The 17,107-nt window shown below is 57.8% G+C and overlaps 1 protein-coding gene across 2 annotated transcripts, besides 3 other annotated features; it reads right to left on the bottom strand.

Annotated features, from left to right (window-relative positions):
- Window positions 1–736: 736 nt before the first annotated feature.
- Window positions 737–16,503, bottom strand: ZFP41 (ZFP41 zinc finger protein). 2 transcript variants are annotated; one of them, NM_173832.6, is made up of 3 exons: window positions 16,300–16,503; window positions 12,102–13,752; window positions 737–3,667 (listed from the first exon to the last, which is right to left on the bottom strand). In NM_173832.6, exon 2 carries the CDS (start codon window positions 13,596–13,598, stop codon window positions 13,002–13,004), a length of 597 nt encoding a protein of 198 aa, NP_776193.3. In that variant the 5' UTR covers window positions 13,599–13,752; window positions 16,300–16,503; the 3' UTR covers window positions 737–3,667; window positions 12,102–13,001. The 2 variants fall into 2 exon arrangements, with proteins under 2 accessions (NP_776193.3, NP_001258085.3); NM_001271156.3 differs by lacking the exon at window positions 737–3,667 and adding an exon at window positions 9,851–10,554 and having other exon boundaries at window positions 15,693–16,503.
- Window positions 12,258–12,758: an enhancer, noted in NCBI's record as "H3K4me1 hESC enhancer chr8:144332854-144333354 (GRCh37/hg19 assembly coordinates)". NCBI's record gives its function as "activates a minimal SCP1, AML or CMV promoter by ChIP-STARR-seq in naive H9 embryonic stem cells {active_cell/tissue: H9 hESC(naive)}" and the evidence as "EXISTENCE:reporter gene assay evidence [ECO:0000049][PMID:30033119]".
- Window positions 16,069–16,118: a silencer, noted in NCBI's record as "silent region_19612". NCBI's record gives its function as "represses an Ori minimal core promoter by ATAC-STARR-seq in GM12878 lymphoblastoid cells {active_cell/tissue: GM12878}" and the evidence as "EXISTENCE:reporter gene assay evidence [ECO:0000049][PMID:35858748]".
- Window positions 16,159–17,048: a silencer, noted in NCBI's record as "silent region_19611". NCBI's record gives its function as "represses an Ori minimal core promoter by ATAC-STARR-seq in GM12878 lymphoblastoid cells {active_cell/tissue: GM12878}" and the evidence as "EXISTENCE:reporter gene assay evidence [ECO:0000049][PMID:35858748]".

Raw genomic sequence — 17,107 nt, 5'->3', positions numbered from 1 at the left:
TTCCCGCACCGCTCCATGCCTTTCCAGCTTCTGGAACCCCAGGCGTCTCTGGGCGGTTCCCTGGGGCCTTGAGAGCCACCTTTCCCGTCCTTTTCTTTGTCGTCACAGGGTCTAAATCTGTATCTCTCACCTGCAGCACCTCTGGCATCTGGGCAGGACCCCCGCCTCTGCACACCAGATTCCGGTGGTGCCCCCGCCCAGCTGTGACCGCCAACACGGTCCCGGACATTGCCGAGTGGGCCCCAGGGGCAGAAGTACCCCTGGTTGAGAGCAACTGCCCTGACGAAGGAGGTGCGAGCCGGGGAACAGAGGACCAGACAAAAGTGAGTGCTGTTTGGAACTCAGAGGGCCTGGAGAAGGGCTGAAGACAGGGCCTGAAGAAGGCGTTCAGGAACCCCGGGGCCTCCTCTGGGGCATCCTGAGTGCAGGCACTAGGCCACCTAATGAACCCTTAGCTTCCCAGGTATCCGGGGCCAGAAAGGCTGAGAGCATTTCCGCACTGCAAAGGGTTGCTCCCATTGTGAGTTAGTGAACAACTTTCTCATTTATGTGTCAGTCTCCTGTGAGTCTGGCTAATGGGGAGTGGTCTTGTGGAGACCCATCACAGGCAGCGACCAGCCAGGGTCCTGTGGTCCTGGGAAGCAGCACCTGCACTGTTCCCTGGGAGGAAGCCGGTAGCCTTCGTGGGGTCGCTGACTGCATCCCCAGAGTGCAGAGAGCTCAATGAAGACAGCACTCGAGTCAGAAATCAATGTTTACTGCAGAGAACACAGAAGCCAGCAAGCAGTAGGCAAGGGAGGCGTCGCAGTGAGTGTGTCGGGCAGGCTGGGAACCAGCGCAACGGCCCACGTGGACCGAGGACTCACGCAGAGCAAGTCACAGAAAGCGCAGCTGAAAACAAACGGATGCTTATCCCAGATGCACAGGACACTTACCAAGGACTGATGGTCTATCAGAGTAATGCTCAGCAGCTTTGGCTGGCAGGACAGTTAAACTTTTGGACAACAGAAAGTAACTGGGAAATGGGACATCTGCCACCAACACGAGAGGCCAAGACCACAGCTGTTACAGGAGGGGTCAGCGCCACAGTACATGGGTGGCGGCGGCGGCTGCACATGCATGCCTGGGGAATGTGAGTGTTCAGACATGCCAGGCATCCAGCCTCACCAGGAAACAGGCACACGGGGACACAGGCACAAACACTAAAAACCCTCGCTGAATCCATTTGGCTGAGCGGTGGCCACGGGAGCACGGGGCTGCCCTCCTCACAGACCTGCACCTGGGCCCCAGGGCAAGACGGGCGTGGGAGGTGCAGGGGTGCGGGTGTGGGCAGGGGCTGCCGGAGAGGGGCGTGGGAGGTGCAGAGGTGCGGGCGCGGGCAGGGGCTGCCGGAGACAGCCGTGAGGGGTGCGGGTGCAGGCAGGGGCTGCCGGAGACGGGCGTGGCAGGTGCAGGGGTGCGGGTGCGGGCAGGGGCTGCCGGAGACGGGCGTGGCAGGTGCTGCCGGAGACGGGCGTGGCAGGTGCTGCCGGAGACGGGCGTGGCAGGTGCTGCCGGAGACGGGCGTGGCAGGTGCAGGGGTGCGGGTGCGGGCAGGGGCTGCCGGAGACAGGCGTGGCAGGTGCAGGGGTGCGGGTGGGGGCAGGGGCTGCTGGAGACGGGCGTGGAAGGTGCACGGGTGCGGGTAGGGGCTGCCGGCTCAGAGGCGTGTCCAGGAACCCCCGTCAGGCCAGAGCCCTGCCCTGAGCGGCCTGCAGGGGTGACTGCGAGACAGCAGCGTTAGGCCCGGTCTCGGCTGTGAAGTCGCCCCCACCGCCACGCACGACCCTGGGGATTCTGTCAAGGTGGGGGCCGTCTGCTAGGCCCGGGCTCCCTGACCACGTGGCTAGGTTTGCGGAGGAAGCCAGGAGAGTGCCAACACCAGGCTCTGTAAGCGTGAGGCTCCCTGCCGGCCCCATCCCGGAGTTCACCCCATCCTTCCTGCGTCCCTGGACCTCAGCTGTTCCTCATTGACCTCAGAGACACCCTGCCCTGCCCCGGCTTCTCAGGAGCCCTGCCCACCACCGCCTCAGCTCTGGGGACACGGCCTTTCTCCCGGTGCAGAGGCGCAGCTCGCTGCCCCCAGGGCCCATCTTCCTCCCCAGCATGTTTTTACCTCAGCTCATTCTCAGGAAAGAAACGATCACATCTCAGCGCCCCAAATGGGGACCAATAGGAGAGGTCACTGGGAATGAAACCCAGGTACACCCCAGGGTCCGTGGGCTCCCCAGAAACGCAGGTGGACCCCACCACAGCCAACAGGCCTAAGTCGCTGATCGGCCCCTCCCTGCTTCCCTGTGTCGAAGAGGAAACAGAGGCCCAGACAAGGAGGGCTGGTCGGCTGCGTCCCCAGACCTCTGGTTCCGGGGCTGGCTGGGAGCACCCCTCTCCCTGCTCCCTTCCTGCTCTCCTGAGAAATGGCTCAGGGATGGGACCTGCAGGGATGGATGCTGGCATAGCTCTCAAAATGCTCGCACAAGGGACACTCCATGGCAGGTCCCTGCAGCAGAGCAAAGTCACAACATTTGAGGTTCTCTGCACTCTGAGGCCTACAGAGCTCGGCTGGCCGAGTGAGGCTGGGAGGATGGTGCCCGCTGGTCAGGGCAGCTGAGTGGGGCTGGGAGGATGGTGCCCGCTGGTCAGGGCAGCCCTCTGGGTCAGGGTGACTGAGCAAGGCTGGAAGGATGGTGCCTGCTGGTCAGGGTGGCCGCGTGAGGCTGGGAGGGTGGTGCCCGCTGGTCCGGGTGGCCAAGAGAGGCTGGAAGGATGGTGTCTGCTGGTCAGGGCGGCCCAGGAGGTGCTGTCCAGGCGGAGCCCGGGGCTGGTGTGGGTGCGCCATGCTCCTGAGAAGTTTCTGGGTTGTGGCTTTAATGTTCTCCTGCAATAAGAACGCTGACACTTGGCTGAAAGGTCCTCACGTCTCCCCCAGTACACTTCTGAGATGCCAGGAAGGCATTCTGAACATCAGGCTGATTCCTGGGACTCCCCTCCAGGGTGACCTCACCGGAGTCAGGAGCCCCCGCCCCGCGCCCACTGCCCCACTAGGATGGCTCTGCAGTGGCCTGAGGACAGTGAACACTGGGGTGTAAAGTTGCCCACTGTGATGGTTTTGACCTTTGAAGAAATTTGGGAACCAAGTGAAAGCCCGGCAGCTATTTCTAGGCATTTCAGAGGGTGCTTCCCTGCACGATTTCAGAGGGTGCTTCCCTGCACGATTTCAGAAGGTGCTTCCCTGCACGACTTCACAGGGTGCTTCCCTGCACGATTTCAGAGGGTGCTTCCCTGCACGATTTCAGAGGGTGCTTCCCTGCACGACTTCACAGGGTGCTTCCCTGCACGATTTCACAGGGTGCTTCCCTGCACGATTTCACAGGGTGCTTCCCTGCACGATTTCAGAGGCTGCTTCCCTGCACGCACTCTGCCGCACACCGCACTCCCTGGGCCAGGAGCCTGCTGCACAGAAGGAGGTTCCTTTTCTTCTCTTTCCAGCGCTTTTCTTCTCCTTTTCTTCATCTCTGCTCCTCCTCTAACTGAGGAATGTGCGAATCTTTTTTGTTAGTTTTGAGGCTGCTTCTTATGCATATTTCATCTGGAACTTCTTGCTTTGGGGGTGATCTGCTCTACCAGCCTGAAAAGGATGAGAAATATCTTCTGAATACATGAGAAGTGCGGTGATTACCCGGTTCCTCTGTTGGTAAAGACCACACTCTGAAAGCAAGAAGATGGCTTAAATTTGGGTTGAGTGGAAACAGGCACCTGTGGGCAACGGAGGCCAGGGTTGGGGGCGGGGGGGCCTCAAGATCAGTGGGGGGCGTGGAAGTGGGCGTTAACCCGTGCACCCCAGGGCTGGATGGCACCAGGTTCATGAGGAAGTGCTCCCTGTTTTCTAAAAACGTTAAGGAAGGTGGGAGGGTGTCAGATGTGTAAGCTGAGTGTACATGACATGATCCTTTAACCGCGCTAGAGCAAATGCTCACTCACCCTCCATCCGGTTTAAGCGCGAGATACCACCCAGGGGCCCGTGCCCTGTGCCGGCCCGTCTCTCCTGAGTGTGAACCATGCCTTTGCCTTTCTCTGCAGTTGGACCACATGTGTCCCCAACCACCACACTGTGTAGTTTTGCTTGGTTTCGAACTTTGCGGTGGTTAAAATCACGCCGTGTGTCTTCTGTGCCTTACATTCTCTGCTCAGTGTGTGTCTGTCACGTAGGGGTTGACGTGGGTCCTGGCTAGCTGCGTGGCCACTGTGCCAACAGCTTCCCTTGACCAACAGACCATGATTTACCCGCTTCGCTACCGACAGGCATTTGGGTTCTTTCCGGCTTTCCTGACAGTGCATGCCATGAACGTTGTTGTGTCTCTGGCTGCGTGCACACACGTTTCTCAAGGGGAAGTCAACAGGCGGCTCCTGGGTCAGCAGGAACGCACATCTTCGCCTTTGCCAGAAAACGCCAGGCTGCTCTCCAGACTGTGCTGCTGCCTGGTGCCGCAGCAGGAGATGAGGACCCCCGCCCGTCCCATGCAAGGATCCGAATCCGACCTGGCCATCTTTACCACGCTGTGGGGCACAGAATTGGATCTGTTGTTTTAACTTGTGTTCTCTGATTTTTAAAGAGATTGAGCATGTTTTCAGGTATTTACGAGCCATGGATGTTTTTTTCTTCTGCGACTTTTGCCCATTTTTCTTTTTTCTAGAGATGGGGTCTCGCTGCGTTGTTCAGGCTGGTCTTGAACTCCTGTTTTGGCCATTTTTCTATTTAGATATTTGTCTTTAAAAATCCTGGTTCCTATGAATGCTGCACATATTCTGAACATTTGTCATTTGTTGCTACAGTGGTCAGGGTAAGTAACGGTGGCTGGGATAACGAAGAACCTCCGCATGTCAGCGTCTGGCTCAGGAGGCCTCCCCTTCTTGCTCACACCATGACAGGGTCTTGAGGCTCTCCCGAGGGTGACTCCAGGACATGGCTCCTTCTCTTGGTGTGTGGCTCTGCCATCTCTGAGTCCTTCTCTCTCAGTCACAGGAAGGGAGGACAGCAGATGATTACAGGGAAGATTTCAGGAGGCCAGGCCTGGAAGAGGCGTCCATCACTCCTGCTCACGTCTGCAGAACAGAATGCAGTGATACAATCCCAGTTCACTGAAGTGTCAACCTCCTGGGCTCAACTGATCCTCCTACCTTAGCCTCCCGAGTATATGGGACCACAGGCGCACGCCACCATACCTAATTTTTAATTTTTATTAGAAATGAAATCTCACTCTGTTGCCCAGGCTGGTCTCAAACTCCTGAGCTCAATCGATCCTCCCACCTCAGTCTCCCAATGTGCTGGGATGACAGGAATGAGCCACCGTGCCTGGCCTGCAAGTGCTTAGTACCTTTGTTCATGTATATGTGTATGAGTGACACTGAACTGTAATTTTGATATCCAGATTACACTCACTTCAGAAAATAACACAGGGTGTGTTTCTTGTCTGTCTCCGAGTCTGGGTAAAACTGGAGCTGTTTCTTGAACTCACGTGCAAAGCACCTGGACTTGGTGTTCTTTGGCAAGACTGAGAATCATCCACACAATCTCTGTCATGGCGATGGATTCTGTGTGCGTGTCTCCTCGAGCTGGGCTGCCACGTGACTTTCCTCCTGATGGTCGAACCGTTTTGGTGGAGTTCTCTTTGTCAGCACAGGCTTTTCTCACCTTTTCAGCATCGGATGTGGCTGAACTGTCTTCCTTTCTCATTCCTGATGGGTGATTTGCTCCTTTTTTCTTAGTCATTTTGCCAGAGGATGTCAATTTTAATAGTCCTTTCAAAGAACCAACTCTTAGCTCTTTTGTCCTCTCAATGGTGTCTGTTTCCATTAATTGTATTAATAAGTGGCTTTATTTACTTATTTATGTATTTATTTTTTTGAGACAGAGTTTCACTTTTATTGCCTGAGCTGGAGTGCAATGGCGTGATCTTGGCTCACTGCAACCTCCGCCTCCTGGGTTCAAGCAATTCTCCTGCCTCAGCCTCCCAAGTAGCTAGGAATACAGGCATGCGCCACCACACCCAGCTAATTTTCTTCTGTATTTTTAGTAGAAATGGGGTTTCACCATGTTAGCCATGACTTGTCTTGAACTCCTGTCCTCAGGTGATCTGCCTGCCTTGGCCTCCCAAAGTGCTGGGATTATAGGCGTGAGCCACCGTGCCTGGCCTGGGCCTTTCTTCTTCTAACTGTTACACTGGGTGCTTCCCTCCTGACTTCCAGCTCCTCTCCTGACTTCCAGCTCCTCTCCTAACAGCAACAGAAGCACACAGGGTTGGATACTGCCCTTGGCTCCCACTGCCATCAGGTGCTCTGTTAAGTCATATGATCACTGAATTTTAAGTGTCTTATCTTTCACCTGGGTCATGTAGGTTTTCTCTTCCTGCAATAAGAGCTTCTTTTAAACAAGACACCGAAGCAGAGGTCAGCCTAGACGGCCTCCGGCTTCAGCTCTTGGTCTTGCTATGACATCAGGAATTCATCTGTCTGTGCCTCCGGCTTCAGCTCTTGGTCCTGCTGTGACGTCAGGAGTTCGTCTGTCTGTGCCAAATGATAGGGACAAAAAAGATGGCAGACTGGTTTTGTTTTGGTTATGCAATTTTTCTCATAACCATAAACGTTAAAAAAAATTTCCAAGTGGATTTAAAAAAATGTATCTTTTATTTTTGAGACAGGGTCTTGCTCTGTCATCCAAGCAGGTCTTGAACTCCTGGCCTCAAGTGATCCTCCTGCCTCGGCCTTCCAAAGCACTGGGATTACAGATGTGAGTCACCACATCTGGCCCCAAAAATGTATCTTTTGTTGTTTTCCATGCCGATTTTGTTGAAGCCAGCTCTCTCATCTTTTCCTTGGAGAAGTATCCAAGGCAGTCAGTTTGCATGGCCCCCATTTCGTGTGTGAACCAATATCTGATCTCACTAACACCAGCATGTGGGGCGAGCCCTGATCTCACTAACACCAGCACGCGGGGCGAGCCCTGATCTCACTAACTCCAGCACGCGGGGCGAGCCCTGATCTCACTAACTCCAGCACGCGGGGTGAGCCCTGATCTCACTAACACCAGCACGCGGGGCGAGCCCTGATCTCACTAACACCAGCACGCGGGGCGAGCCGTGATCTCACTAACACCAGCACGCGGGGCGAGCCCTGATCTCACTAACTCCAGCACGCGGGGCGAGCCCTGATCTCACTAACACCAGCACGCGGGGCGAGCCCTGATCTCACTAACACCAGCACGCGGGGCGAGCCGTGATCTCACTAACACCAGCACGCGGGGCGAGCCCTGATCTCACTAACACCAGCACGCGGGGTGAGCCCTGATCTCAAGAACACCAGCACGCGGGGTGAGCCCTGATCTCACTAACACCAGCACGCGGGGCGAGCCCTGATCTCACTAACTCTAGCACGCGGGGAGAGCCCTGATCTCACTAACACCAGCACGCGGGGCGAGCCGTGATCTCACTAACACCAGCACGCGGGGCGAGCCCTGATCTCACTAACACCAGCACGCGGGGCGAGCCCTGATCTCAAGAACACCAGCACGCGGGGCGAGCCCTGATCTCACTAACACCAGCACGCGGGGCGAGCCCTGATCTCACTAACTCTAGCACGCGGGGAGAGCCCTGATCTCACTAACACCAGCACGCGGGGTGAGCCGTGATCTCACTAACACCAGCACGCGGGGCGAGCCCTGATCTCACTAACTCCAGCACGTGGGGCGAGCCCTGATCTCACTAACACCAGCACGCGGGGTGAGCTCTGATCTCACTAACACTAGACGCGGGGCGAGCCCTGATCTCAAGAACACCAGCACGCGGGGCGAGCCCTGATCTCACTAACTCCAGCACGTGGGGCGAGCCCTGATCTCACTAACACCAGCACGCGGGGTGAGCTCTGATCTCACTAACACTAGACGCGGGGTGAGCCCTGATCTCAAGAACACCAGCACGCGGGGCGAGCTCTGATCTCACTAACACCAGACACGGGGCGAGCTGACACGGTCACACAGTTCGTAGGATCCAGCAGTGTGCTTACGACGTCACGTATTACGGTTCTTGTTCTTGGCAACCCTGTGGGGTTAAGCACTGTCAGCATCGCCATTTCACACCTGGGAAAACTGAGGCAAAGGCCCCACAGTTCCAGAGTGAGGGTCAAGTCCACAGCCCCTGACTTGAGAGCTATGCTCTTGACCCACTACGTGCGTCCTAGAAATCAAAGACATCAGATTAAAGTGTGAGTTTAGGATCAGGAACCCACCTGCCTGCTGCTAGAGAGGCTGAGGTGGTCCTGCCAGCCATGCGCTGCTGCAGGCGTCTCTGTGGGCATGACCTGGGGCTGGCATTTGGTGAGATGTCAATCCACACCTGGGAATCCGTCCTATTGGCCCTAAATATGGAAAAGATATTTATTGTGGCATTATTTATAATAACCTAGGTTGGAAACAGCCCACATGCCCATGCTGGGAAGTGGATAAGTCACCTGTGCCTTTTCGATTCAACTGGTCATTGTGCAGGCATTAAAAGTAATGCTTCCTTCCTGGCCAACATGGTGAAACCCCGTCTCTACTAAAAATACAAAAATTAGCTGGGCGTGGTGGTGCGTGCCTGAAATCCCAGCTACTCGGGATGCTGAAGCAGGGGAATCGCTTGACCGCGGGAGGTGGAGGTTGTGGTGAGCTGAGATCGTGCCACTGCACTCCAGCCTGGCAACAGAATGAGACTCTGTCTCAAAAAAAAAAAAAAAAAAAAAGTAACGCTCCCTATTGTCAGTAACGGGGAAAAGCAACGATCATACTATCATAAGTAAAATCAAACCAAATGCAGACACCACCAGGGAATGCGTGCCCGTCTCCTGGGCCATCCTAGACAGCCGTGTCCACACTTGCCACCCTCTGTGGCACATCCCGACAGACAGCAGAGGATGCCTGCTCTGAGCAGCTCCCTGTCCCGCCCCCTGGTTTCTTTCTTGTGTCCGAGTTCCTGACTCCTGACGCCGGCTCTTCCCTGCCAACAGCTAATTCTGAAGGACACTAAGACACAGAGAGCGTGTGCAAGGACTGGGAGTTGTGTTAGTTCATTGTGTGTTACTATAAAGGAACACCCGAGGCTGGGTAAGTTTTTGTAACGAGGTTTACGTGGCTGGCGGTTCTGCAGGCTGCACAGGTATCTGCTTGGCTTCTGGTGAGGCTGCAGGGAGGGAGCAAGAGACGGGAGGAGGCACCAGGCTCTTTAATGCAGGAGTCCCTGACCTCAAGACGGGTCCATGGCCTGTTAGAAGTGGGTCACACAGCAGGAGGTGGGTGGCAGGCGAGTGAGCGTTACCGCCTAAGCTCCGCCTCCTGTCAGATCAGCGGTGGCATTAGATTCTCACTGGACCACGAACCCCACCGTGAACTGCATGCGAGGGATCTAGGTTGCACGCTCCTTATGAGAATCAAATGCCTGATGATCTGAGGTGGGACAGTTTCATACTCAAACCATCCACACCACTCCCTGTCCACGGAAAAAACTGGTCCCAGGTGCCAAGAAGGTTGGGGACCACTGCTTTAAACAACAAGCTCTCCAGTGAACCTCAAGAGTGAGAGCTCACTCATTACTGTGAGGAGGGCACCAAGCCATTCTCGAGGGATCTGTCCCCGTGACCCGAATACCTCCTGCCAGGCCCCTTCCCACACTGGGGATCACATTTCCACATAAGATCTGGAGGGGACAGACGTCCAAACTATACCAGGAGCTCGAATGCACCCTTCACCTAGGACAGGATCGGCAAGCAAATCCGGCCCACCTCCTACGTTTGTAAATAAAGTTTTATTGGCACAGCCACGCTCGTTCATTCATATGCCATTGACATCTGCTGTTGCCCTACACAGCAGGGTGGGGACCTGCTCTTCACGGGAGAGCTAGTTGTTTAAAGCAGTGGTCCCCAACCTTCTGTGGTCCCCCGTGGGTGCTGAGGCACAGGCTGTATGGCTGCAGTGCCAAGAATATTTCCTGCCTGACCCTTCATCGGAGAAGCGTGCCCACCTGTGCTCTAGATTCCCCATGACTGACATTTAGCCACTCTCCTCTGTCACTCTCCGGGGACGTGCACACACCGTTGGCATGAACTGCAGACGCCACGCTCTGCGGCCAAGAGCCTCAGTGTGCATCTGCAGTAGGAGGACGTCAGTGAGGACCGCCCCGTCCCTGCTGCGCTGGTGCTGACTGTGCCTGCAGTTGACTGTGCCTGCAGTTGACTGTGCCTGGAGTCTACAATCCAGGTCGGCCAAACGTCCCAGCAAAGTCCTTCAAAGCAACTCTTCCGATCCAGGATCACACGTCACACGTGCTCTGATGCCTGCTTCTGAACAATTCACCTCCTGATATGTCCATTTCTGGGAGTGCGAGTATTCCTCTCCTGGTGACAGCTGGCTGAGGCCGTCCAGCCTCAGGACATACCGGGAACGGCTGCATAAGGAGATCCGGGCCAGGGGGCCCACCAGGATGTCCTGCCCTGTGGGGGTCAACACTGGCCGTGGTCCGCCGGCGGCATCCAGGGACAGTCTATCTAGGTGAGGCTGAGGCTGCCCGCCCCCTCGCTCCCTCACCCCCTCACCCCCATGCTGACGGCAGTGGGCTGACCACAGCCCCGGGGAGCCCCACGGGAAGACTGGCCTCCCCAGCACACGCCCAATAGTGTGAGACACAGTCATCACAGAGGCAGGTACACGACACCACGGGACTTGCCACCTACCTACCCCCATTGGGACCACGGGCCATTGAGAAGCCACGAAGGCCGTGCTTCCAGCAGCGACTGAGGCGGCAGGACCATCAGGAGGCCACAGGCGCCACGGCTCCCCTCTGGTGGTTCACCTGCTCACCTGCGCTGGGGAGGCCCCTCCAGTGTGTGTGGTCCCGAGAGCAGAACCCCCCCAGGCAACACGTCTGATGAAGGCCAACACAGCCTCAACCCAAACAAAGGCAGGGCCCGCAGGCGAGCACAGCCACACCAGCAATGCCATGGGGGCATGGCGGGGTGGGGCCTTCCGCATGGACCAGCCTGCCTGGGTCCGCAGCCAGCCCAGGCACTGAGTGTCACCCGACCTCAGAGAGCCCTACAGCCATCTGGGAGATGCTGCCCTGCGGGTCAGGACCCAGTGTGAGCAGGTGACGGGCTGGGCTCTGGGACCTGCTATATAGAAAGTTAACCAGGCCAGAGGCAAAGCTAGTGTGGGTGACAGTGTGGTTCTGGGATTTACGGGAGTTTTATTTTCCAGTTCTAGGCTATTTCTATTTCTGCGGGGAAGGGGAAGTGAGGAGACACATCTGTCAGTGCAGCCCATGGGCAGTGGGCATGAGAGAGGCTGGGAGCCGAGCAGCCTCCCCACGATACTACAAGTGGCAGCACTCAGGACCCCCTGCCATGGAACAGGCTCCTCTGTCCAGGCCAGCAGCAGGAGCAGCCGGGAGAAGAGACACACTCTGCGTGTGGAATGTGCTTCCAACACGTCTGAGTGCAGAGGGACTGAAGCATCCTCCCAGTGGGAGGGGAGGCCTGCCGAAAGGCTCCCTTTCCAAGTGACCCCACAGTGGCCAAGCTGGTATGGGGCCTACACAGACAGGCAGGAATATTACAGCCCTCAGAAAGACCGCGGCAGGAAAAATGTGTTAACCCAGTAAACGTTTCCACCCAGACAGGACTGCTCTCCATCATCCGGGCAGTGTACCCTAGTCCATTTCTGAGACTGCTCAATGGACAAGGCCAAGGCCATCTCCAGCTCGAATCGGGACCCTCCTTCCAGGACAGAATCCCCAAAGACTAGGGCCGTGATTAGTGTTTCACGTCTAAACAGCTGAAAACATAGGCGCCAACATTTCCCAATAAAAAACCTTACCTCCTGGTTTACAAAGTCATTTGCTACCCTCTTATAAACCACAGTCCCTAGAGAGCACAGGATCCCGTCCACACTGCTCCTGGATGGACACAAGGGTGGCACAGGCCTGTGGACCTGCCACTGGGTGGGACAGGACTGGGTACAGGCATGAAGAAGTAGAACTAACCTGAATGCTGGGCTGGTCTGTGGGGCTGGGGCCCACCGCCCACGTCGGAAGGCCGAGGGGCAGATGCAGGCTGGACCGAAGCTGCCGAGGGCACCCCAGGGGCCCCACTGCATGGCTGGGACGGGAAGCTCAGCAGGTGGTGGTGTCCAAGGTCCTGAGGAACCTTTGTCCCAAGTCCATCCAGGTAAGTCAGGCCGCCTCTCTGGGAGGAAGGCTGGGCCAAGAGGGCACGTGGTGTGGCCCAGTTCCGGGGACGGGGGTCTGAGCTCAGGGACTGGCACTCCAGCAGGAGGAGAGAAGCCAGAGGACCAAGCACAGTTGGGGCACAGAGGCCGGGCAGGGACAAGCGGCCCCGGGCACTGAAGCTGGCTGGGCAGGGATGAGTGGTCCCAGGGCTCGCTGCAGAGCTCGGGGACCCAGAGGGCAGAGAGTCCAGACTGGGGCCTTCAGCGGCAGATGAAAGGCTTAAGCAGAGTGGACATCACAGGCAGGCAGCAGCGGGAAGTGCTGGGCTGCCCACTACACCAGGAGCCTCTCCTGCTGGGTGCTCTGAGGTGACCCAAACACGTCCAATGGATGGCAGTGAATACTCCCTGGTCTCTGGTGCTGAGCCCCGTTCGCCATCGGGAACTTGGAAAATGCTCTGTGGCTGCAAGGAGCCTCTGGTGGCTTCTCCATCACTGCGGTGTCTTGATCAGAGAGACTCTCTGCAGTGGAAAGGTCTCTCCCTCGCTGGCACGTTCCCACATCTGACTGGGCTGCTTTTCCGGGGGTCCCCAGGGCACGGAACACAGTGCGCACGGCCCTGCGCCCCCATCAGACGCGGGACACGAGGGAGCCACGGAGCAGGTGTCCGGCGAGGCTCGCACCGCAGGGCCCGAGTCCGCAGATGGCCCCGGCTCAGGGCTTCTTCCGAGGGTGGCGTTTCTGATGGCGGATGAGACAGGAGCTGTAGGCAAAGGCTTTCCCACAGTGCGTGCATTCGTAGGGCTTCTCCCCGGTGTGCGTCTTCTGATGTTTCAGGAGATTGGAGCCGCAGTTAAAGGCTTTCCCGCACTCCCCGCATTTGAAGGGCTTCTCTCCCGTGTGAGTCCTCTGGTGTTTGGTGACGTCAGAGCTGTGCCGGAAGGCCTTCCCGCACTGCGCACACTTGAAGGGCTTCTCTCCAGTGTGGACCCTCTGATGGCGAATGTGGTCTGTCTTGTGCTTAAAGATCCGCCCACACTCACTGCACTCATAGGGTTTCTTCCTCTGAAAAGGAATGAACACGGGAACCCCCTCAAAGTCATCTTTAAATGAAGCGTCGAAGGCATCAAAGACGTGCTCTTCGTCTTCAGGACTCAGGCAGGGCTCTGTGCGGGGCTTCCTGGGCACAGTGGGCCTCTCAGGTGGCTTTCTGTCCCCGGACACCTTCTCCTCTCTGAGCGCACTCTTCTGCACGTCTGCCTCCTCCCTTGGGGTCGGCGTCTTCTTTTTTCTGCCTGCAGGCTTCTCCATCATTCTGTTCCTTGGAAGCGTGAGGGCTAAGGGGCTGCTGACCTCTCTGTTGGCCCCACTTCCTCAATGGCTTGCTTCCCACGCACCTCTCCACACTCCCAGCGTGGGACTGATGCTCTGCACCAGGAGGCCAAGGGCCACCATCCTCTTGGTGCTGGGGAGAAGCAAGAACATGAACCTCAGATTAAAGGTTTGCCTTTCAGGGGATGTGGGATTCAGGTGCGGCCCCTCCCTTCCCATGTGTTCCCCCAAGAGTGTCTCAAACGGCATTGCTGATCTCCCCGGAGCCCCACCTGACTCTCTCCCGGCCTTTCCTTGTCTCGATGAAGGGATCAGTTGCTCACCAAGGAATCCTTGCTCCTCTGCCGGGGTTCCGGGTCTGCACACCATGTCCACAGGATCTGATGTACCCACCAACTGCCCTGCGGCTTCCCTCCTCCACCCCCGAATCCCCCTGGTTCCTGCCGTAGTCTCCTTCTCCACCATACTGGGCTTGGAACCAGTCACCGTGCTTTGAAGCTACAGGCTGCAGGGACCACACGTGCCCAGTGGAGAGTGCTTCCATCCCCCAGAGGCTGGGTTCTGAGTTCATGAAACCAGGGCTGCCCCCCTGCCATGGACCACAGCAGCCAGCAGAACCCCTCATGTCACATCCTTCCCACCTCAGCTTCCTGAGTAGCTGGGACTACAGGTGGGAGCCACCATGCCCAGTCATATTCTAAGAAATAATATTCCGTACCCTTTGTATTAGTTCTTGGTCAACCAGGCTGGAGTTTGAGGCCAGGGTTGACCCTAGGTAGAAAGTGGAGCTGATATGCATGTCGTAAGTGACACAACTCAACACATAAATACTTTGAATTCTCTTTGTTGAGAGGAGGTTGGTGGCCTTCCCTCCTCTCCCTCATGAGTGCAGGTAACACATAAACTCACTACAGATTTCCTATCTCAACAAGGAGGGTCTGGTCTTTTCTACAGGAAAATGTTTAGATGAATGTGACTCAGTTTCAGGCCAACATCACTTTCTAGGGCTCTATCTAGAGGTGGCGTGTGGGAGGAGGCAGATCAGGTGGGCGCCAGAACTGAAGATGAAGGCCACGTGTGCTGAGGGAGGATGCAGGCATAAAGCAGCATCTCTGCTGGGGTGGGCAGGGGGTGGGCCCTGGTGCCCAGGATAGAGGATCACAGCCCAAGCTGGCTGGAGTTTGAGGCCGGGGTCCAGCTCTGGTAGGAAACAAAGGTGAGAACCAAGAACCAGCACAGAAGACCAGTCGACCAGCTGTTTGCCTCATGGGCAGGGCGGAGCTGGAGAAACGGCAGCTCTCCAGGGCATGGCGGGAACCTATCTGGCTCTCTGCAGACTCCACTCCACGGCGGGGCGGGGGGTGGTTTGTGAACCCACTGAGCCTAACGGCTGCTGCCCGAGGCCTGTGTGGGGGTCCTCCATGCTGTACAGCACTGTTCCTTCTTCCAGACACTTGTCACTGCACGTGTGGCTGGTCACTGACATGGCAGTCTCCTTATGCGACAGGGTCTCCTGAAGGCGAGGATCGTATCTTTTTTATCTCCAAATCCTAGTCACATACTGTGGTCAGGGAACATTCTCCATAACGGCTCTGTCGACTCAACTTAGGCTGGCAGGTGCTAACCGGCAGAGACTGGAATGACTCACTTCTCTACACGCTGCCCACCCTGAGAAATAAAATATTTCTTAAAAGCAGAGTGGACTGGCCGGGCGCGGTGGCTCATGCCTGTAATCCCAGCACTTTGGGAGGCCGAGGTGGGCGGATCACGAGGTCAGGAGATCGAGACCATCCTGGCCAACATGGTGAAACCCTGTCCCTACCAAAACACAAAAAATTAGCTGGGCGTGGTGGCACGTGCCTGTAGTCCTAGCTACTCAGGAGGCTGAGGGAGGGGAATTGCCTGAACCCAGGAGATAGAAGTTGCAGTGAGCAAAGGTCGCGCCAGTGCACTCCTGCCTGGCGACAGAACAAGACTCCGTCTCAAACAAAAAAACCAAACCAAACCAAAACAAAAAACCCCACACGCAAAAAACAAAAACGGATTGGACCATAGCGATTTTCTTGGCCTCACCTCACAGGCCTGTAGACAGGAGTGATTAGCTAGTTACAAACAGCGCAACCCACGCTTGCCACACCCCTAAAGACTGGGGTTCTGGTTCTGTCGTGCAACTCCAGCGTAGCTCCGTCGCCTCTCTGGGCGGAGGACCCTTCACTTGTAATATGAAGCTCTGGGTATCCGTGGGCGGTAAGGGCTGCCTAGAAAACCTCACTCACCCTGGCGCCTCCCTCCACTACTTTCAGGGATCTGGGTCTCATGGAGAGACTGGAACATTAGTGGGCTTGAGATTCAGGGGCAATCTGCACTAAAACAGCCTGCTGGGTCCACGGCCTGCCAGGGGCCTGCTAGCTGTGCCAAGGCCTGAGATGCCAGGCATCTGAGCCAGGCGGAGGGGCCCGCCAGGGTCCCGTGCGTGCTCCTAGTTAGAGGCTCTCCTTTCAACGGCAGAGCCCCGCGGCCCACGTGCAGAGCTAGGTCGGCCTCGGGGCCGGCGCCCGGGAGGTGCTCAAAGCCGGGTCTTGCCACATCCCTGGAGCGCCGGGGTGCGGGGAGGCGGCGGGGCCCATACCGACGCTGCGCGTCCTGGGCCGGAGGCGGCAGGCAGGAGCCCAGTGAGTACCTGGCTGGAGACGAGAGGCGACGAGGACCTCCCGCTGCAGAGCGCGGACGCGCCCGGGCCCTACCAGGACTGCTGGAGGGCGGGGAGAGGCGCGCGCCCCTCGCGGGGGCCGGAGGCAGGAAAGGAGAGCCCTAGATGCGGGACCCCCCAACAGCTCCCCACCAGTGCCAGCGTCCCCGTCGGCCCTAGGCACCGGCAGGAAATGCCCGCCCGCTGACCCGCCCCTTCCGGCGGCCGCGCTAGGAGCCTGGGCCGGACTCGGTGATGGTGGGCGGTGGAGGGCTCGGCCCGAGCGGCTCCATCCCCAGCCGACTCCGCCCCCGAAGACCCCGCCCCGATCAGGCCCCGCCCCCTCAGGCTTCACCCATAACTGCCGCCACGCCCGCAGGGTCCTCCCCGAGCTGACCCCGCCCCTTTACAGTCGTCTATGGCAGGCGCCCTCCCGAAGGCTCCCCCGAAATCAGGTCCCTCCCCGAGCGGGCCCCGCCTCCGAAAGCTCCTTCCCGAGCCGGCTTCCCCTCATGCCCCGCCCCCTCAGGCTCCGCCCTCGTGTCCCGCCCCCGAAAGTTCCTCCCCAGCCACCTCCCCACATGCTCCGCCCCCAGGCTCCGCCCCATGTCCCGCCCCCAAAAAGCCCCGCCCCGAACCGGCACCCTCATGCCCCGCCCCCAGCGGCCCCGCCCCGCAAGGCCCAGTCCCCAGCAGCTCGGTCCCGAGCCGACCCTGTCACGTAGGCTGCGCCCACCAGACTCTCCGGATCCGACGCGCGTGGGCTCCTGGCTCCAGACCCCCAACGGGGAGGTCGCGG

Source organism: Homo sapiens, chromosome 8 (genome assembly GCF_000001405.40).
Source record: "Homo sapiens chromosome 8, GRCh38.p14 Primary Assembly".
In the NCBI taxonomy this organism is placed as follows: domain Eukaryota; kingdom Metazoa; phylum Chordata; class Mammalia; order Primates; family Hominidae; genus Homo; species Homo sapiens.
Note: the sequence above shows the minus strand (reverse complement) of the source record. Positions and strands in the feature narration are given on the sequence as shown.

Bases quoted from the DNA above. Each gene is read 5' to 3' on its own strand.
- ZFP41 (NM_173832.6), bottom strand. From the start codon at position 13,598: ATGGAGAAGCCTGCAGGCAGAAAAAAGAAGACGCCGACCCCAAGGGAG.